Here is a 5,401-nt window from a genome sequence, read left to right on the forward strand (position 1 = left end):
CATGATTATCTCAATAGATGCAGAAAAGGCCTTCAATAAAATTCAACACCCCTTCATGCTAAAAACACTCAATAAACTTGGTATTGATTAAACACATCTCAAAATAATAAGAGCTATTTATGATAAACTCACAGCCAATATCATACTCAATGGGCAAAACCTGGAAGCATTCCCTCTGAAAACTGACACAAGACAAGGATGCCCTCTGTCACCACTCCTATTATTCAAAATAGTATTGGAAGCTGTGGCCAAGGCAATCAGGCAAGAGAAATAAATAAATGGTATTCAAATAGGAAAAGAGGAAATCAGATTGTCTCTGTTTGCATATGACATGATTGTATATTTAGAAAACCCCATTGTCTCAGCCCGAAAAACTCCTTAAGCTGAAAAACAACTTCAGCAAAGTCTCAGGATACAAAATCAACGTGCAAAACTCAAAAGCATTCCTGTACACAAATAATAGACAAGCAGAGAGCCAAATCATGAGTGAACTCCCATTCACAATTGCTACAAAGAAAATAAAATACCTAGGAATACAACTTAGAAGGGATATGAAGGACCTCTTCAAGGAGAACTACAAACCACTGCTCAAGGAAATAAGAGAGGACACAAACAAATGAAAAAACTTTCCATGCTCATGGATGGAAAGAATCAATATTGTGAAAATGGTCATACTGCCCAAATAATTTATAAATTCAGTGCTATCCTCATCAAACTACCATTGACTTTTTTCACAGAATTAGAAAAAACTACTTTAAAGTTCATGTGGTACCAAAAAAGAGCCCATATAACCAAGACAATCCTAAACAAAAAGAACGAAGCTGAAGGCATCACGCTACCTGACTTCAAACTATAATACAAGGCTACAGTCACCAGAACAACATGGTACTGGTAATGAAACAGATATATAGACCAATGGAACAGAACAGAGGCCTCAGAAATACCACCACACATCTACAACCATCTGATCTTTGACAAACCTGACAGAAACAAGCAATGGGGAAAGGATTCCCTATTCAATAAATGGTGCTGGGAAAACTGGCTAGCCATATGCAGAAAACAGAAACTGGACCCATTTACACCTTATACAAAAATGAGCTCAAGATGGATTAAAGGAGGGAGGAGCCAAGATGGCCGAATAGGAACAGCTCCTGTCTACAGCTCCCAGCGTGAGCGATGCAGAAGACAGGTGATTTCTGCATTTCCATCTGAGGTACCGGGTTCATCTCACTTGGGAGTGCCAGACAGTGGGCGCAGGTCAGTGGGTGTGTGCACCGTGCGCGAGCCAAAGCAGGGCGAGGCATTGCCTCACTTGGGAAGCGCAAGGGGTCAGGGAGTTCACTTTCCGAGTCAAAGAAAGGGGTGACAGACACACCTGGAAAATCCGGTCACTCCCACCCAAATACTGCGCTTTTCCGACTGGCTTAAAAAACGGCGCACCACGAGATTATATCCTGCACCTGGCTCGGAGGGTCCTATGCCCACGGAGTCTCGCTGATTGCTAGCACAGCAGTCTGAGATCAAACTGCAAGGCGGCAGCAAGGCTGGGGGAGGGGCGCCCGCCATTGCCCAGGCTTGCTTAGGTAAACAAAGCAGCTGGGAATCTCCAACTGGGTGGAGCCCACCACAGCTCAAGGAGGCCTGCCTGCCTCTGTAGGCTCCACCTCTGGGGGCAGGGCACAGACAAACAAAAAGACAGCAGTAACCTCTGCAGACTTAAATGTCCCTGTCTGACAGCTTTGAAGAGAGCAGTGGTTCTCCCAGCACGCAGCTGGAGATCTGAGAACCGGCAGACTGCCTCCTCAAGTGGCTCCCTGACCCCGAGCAGCCTAACTGGGAGGCACCCCCCAGCAGGGGCAGACTGACACCTCACACGGCAATGTACTCCAACAGACCTGCAGCTGAGGGTCCTGTCTGTTAGAAGGAAAACTAACAAACAGAAAGGACATCCACACCAAAAACCCATCTGTACATCACCATCATCAAAGACCAAAAGTAGATAAAACCACAAAGATGGGGAAAAAACAGAACAGAAAAACTGGAAACTCTAAAAAGCAGAGTGCCTCTCCTCCTCCAAAGGAACACAGTTCCTCACCAGCAACGGAACAAAGCTGGATGGAGAATGACTTTGACGAGCTGAGAGAAGAAGGCTTCAGACGATCAAATTACTCTGAGCTACGGGAGGACATTCAAACCAAAGGCAAAGAAGTTGAAAACTTTGAAAAAAATTTAGAAGAATGTATAACTAGAATAACCAATACAGAGAAGTGCTTAAAGGAGCTGATGGAGCTGAAAGCCAAGGCTCGAGAACTACGTGAAGAACGCAGAAGCCTCAGGAGCCAATGCAATCAACTGGAAGAAAGGGTATCAGTGATGGAAGATGAAATGAATGAAATGAAGTGAGAAGGGAAGTTTAGAGAAAAAAGAATAAAAAGAAATGAGCAAAACCTCCAAGAAATATGGGACTATGTGAAAAGACCAAATCTACGTCTGATTGGTGTACCTGAAAGTGATGGGGAGAATGGAACCAAGTTGGAAAACACTCTGCAGGATATTATCCAGGAGAACTTCCCCAATCTAGCAAGGCAGGCCAACGTTCAGATTCAGGAAATACAGAGAACGCCACAAAGATACTCCTCGAGAAGAGCAACTCCAAGACACATAATTGTCAGATTCACCAAAGTTGAAATGAAGGAAAAAATGTTAAGGGCAGCCAGAGAGAAAGGTCGGGTTACCATCAAAGGGAAGCCCATCAGACTAACAGCGGATCTCTCGGCAGAAACCCTACAAGCCAGAAGAGACTGGGGGCAAATATTCAACATTCTTATAGAAAAGAATTTTCAACCCAGAATTTCATATCCAGCCAAACTAAGCTTCATAAGCGAAGGAGAAATAAAATACTTTACAGACAAGCAAATGCTGAGAGATTTTGTCACCACCAGGCCTGCCCTAAAAGAGCTCCTGAAGGAAGTGCTAAACATGGAAAGGAACAACCGGTACCAGCCACTGCAAATTCATGCCAAAATGTAAAGACCATCGAGACTAGGAAGAAACTGCATCAACTAACGAGCAAAATAACCAGCTAACATCATAATGACAGGATCAAATTCACACATAACAATATTAACTTTAAATGTAAATGGACTAAATGCTCCAATTAAAAGACACAGACTGGCAAATTGCATAAAGAGTCAAGACCCATCAGTGTGCTGTATTCAGGAAACACATCTCACATGCAGAGACACACATAGGCTCAAAATAAAAGGATGGAGGAAGATCTACCAAGCAAATGGAAAACAAAAAAAGGCAGGGGTTGCAATCCTAGTCTCTGATAAAACAGACTTTAAACCAACAAAGATCAAAAGAGACAAAGAAGGCCATTACATAATGGTAAAGGGATCAATTCAACAAGAAGAGCTAACTATCCTAAATATATATGCACCCAACACAGGAGGACCCAGATTCATAAAGCAAGTCCTGAGTGACCTACAAAGAGACTTAGACTCCCACACAATAATAATGGGAGACTTTAACACCCCACTGTCAACATTAGACAGATCAATGAGACAGAAAGTCAACAAGGATACCCAGGAATTGAACTCAGCTCTGCACCAAGCAGACCTATAGACATCTACAGAACCCTCCACCCCAAATCAACAGAATATACATTTTTTTCAGCACCACACCACACCTATTCCAAAATTGACCACATACTTGGAAGTAAAGGACTATTCAGCAAATGTAAAAGAACAGAAATTATAACAAACTATCTCTCAGACCACATTGCAATCAAACTAGAACTCAGGATTAAGAATCTCACTCAAAACCACTCAACTACATGGAAACTGAACAACCTGCTCCTGAATGACTACTGGGTACCTAACGAAATGAAGGCAGAAATAAAGATGTTCTTTGAAACCAACGAGAATAAAGACACAACATACCAGAGTCTCTGGGATGCATTCAAAGCAGTGTGCTGAGGGAAATTTATAGCACTAAATGCCCACAAGAGAAAGCAGGAAAGATCCAAAATTGACACCCTAACATCACAATTAAAAGAACTAGAAAAGCAAGAGCAAACACATTCAAAAGCTAGCAGAAGGCAAGGAATAACTAAAATCAGAGCAGAACTGAAGGAAATAGAGACAGAAAAAACCCTTCAAAAAATTAATGAATCCAGGAGCTGGATTTTTGAAAGGATAAACAAAATTGATAGACCGCTAGCAAGACTAATAAAGAAAAAAAGAGAGAAGAATCAAATAGACGCAATAAAAAATGATAAAGGGGATATCACCACCGATCCCACAGAAATACAAACTACCATCAGAGAATATTACAAACACCTCTACGCAAATAAACTAGAAAATCTAGAAGAAATGGATAAATTCCTTGACACATACACTCTCCCAAGACTAAACCAGGAAGAAGTTGAATCTCTGAATAGACCAATAACAGGATCTGAAATTGTGGCAATAATCAATAGCTTACCAACCAAAAAGAGTCCAGGACCAGATGGATTCACAGCCGAATTCTACCAGAGGTATAAGGAGGAGCTGGTACCATTCCTTGTGAAACTATTCCAATCAATAGAAAAAGAGGGAATCCTTCCTAACTCATTTTATGAGGCCAGCATCATTCTGATACCAAAGCCGGGCAGAGACACAACCAAAAAAGAGAATTTTAGACCAATATCCTTGATGAACATTGATGCAAAAATCCTCAATAAAATACTGGCAAAACGAATCCAGCAGCACATCAAAAAGCTTATCCACCATGATCAAGTGGGCTTCATCCCTGGGATGCAAGGCTGGTTCAACATACGCAAATCAATAAATGTAATCCAGCATATAAACAGAACCAAAGACAAAAACCACATGATTATCTCAATAGATGCAGAAAAAGCCTTTGACAAAATTCAACAACCCTTCATGCTAAAAACTCTCAATAAATTAGGTATTGATGGGACGTATTTCAAAATAATAAGAGCTATCTATGACAAACCCACAGCCAATATCATACTGAATGGGCAAAAACTGGAAGCATTCCCTTTGAAAACTGGCACAAGAGAGGGATGCCCTCTCTCACCATTCCTATTCAACATAGTGTTGGAAGTTCTGGCCAGGGCAATCAGGCAGGAGAAGGAAATAAAGGGTATTCAATTAGGAAAAGAGGAAGTCAAATTGTCCCAGTTTGCAGACGACATGGTTGTATATCTAGAAAACCCCACTGTCTCAGCCCAACATCTCCTTAAGCTGATAAGCAACTTCAGCAAAGTCTCAGGATACAAAATCAATGTACAAAAATCACAAGCATTCTTATACACCAACAACAGACAAACAGAAAGTCAAATCATGAGTGAACTCCCATTCACAATTGCTTCAAAGAGAATAAAATACCTAGG

General features: G+C 41.5%; 2 annotated features.

Moving 5' to 3' along the window:
• Nucleotides 829–1,381: an enhancer, noted in NCBI's record as "NANOG-H3K27ac-H3K4me1 hESC enhancer chr11:63202489-63203041 (GRCh37/hg19 assembly coordinates)". NCBI's record gives its function as "activates a minimal SCP1, AML or CMV promoter by ChIP-STARR-seq in naive and primed H9 embryonic stem cells {active_cell/tissue: H9 hESC(naive and primed)}" and the evidence as "EXISTENCE:reporter gene assay evidence [ECO:0000049][PMID:30033119]".
• Nucleotides 1,382–1,933: an enhancer, noted in NCBI's record as "NANOG-H3K27ac-H3K4me1 hESC enhancer chr11:63203042-63203593 (GRCh37/hg19 assembly coordinates)". NCBI's record gives its function as "activates a minimal SCP1, AML or CMV promoter by ChIP-STARR-seq in naive H9 embryonic stem cells {active_cell/tissue: H9 hESC(naive)}" and the evidence as "EXISTENCE:reporter gene assay evidence [ECO:0000049][PMID:30033119]".

This window comes from Homo sapiens, chromosome 11, assembly GCF_000001405.40.
Source record: "Homo sapiens chromosome 11, GRCh38.p14 Primary Assembly".
NCBI classification, from domain to species: domain Eukaryota; kingdom Metazoa; phylum Chordata; class Mammalia; order Primates; family Hominidae; genus Homo; species Homo sapiens.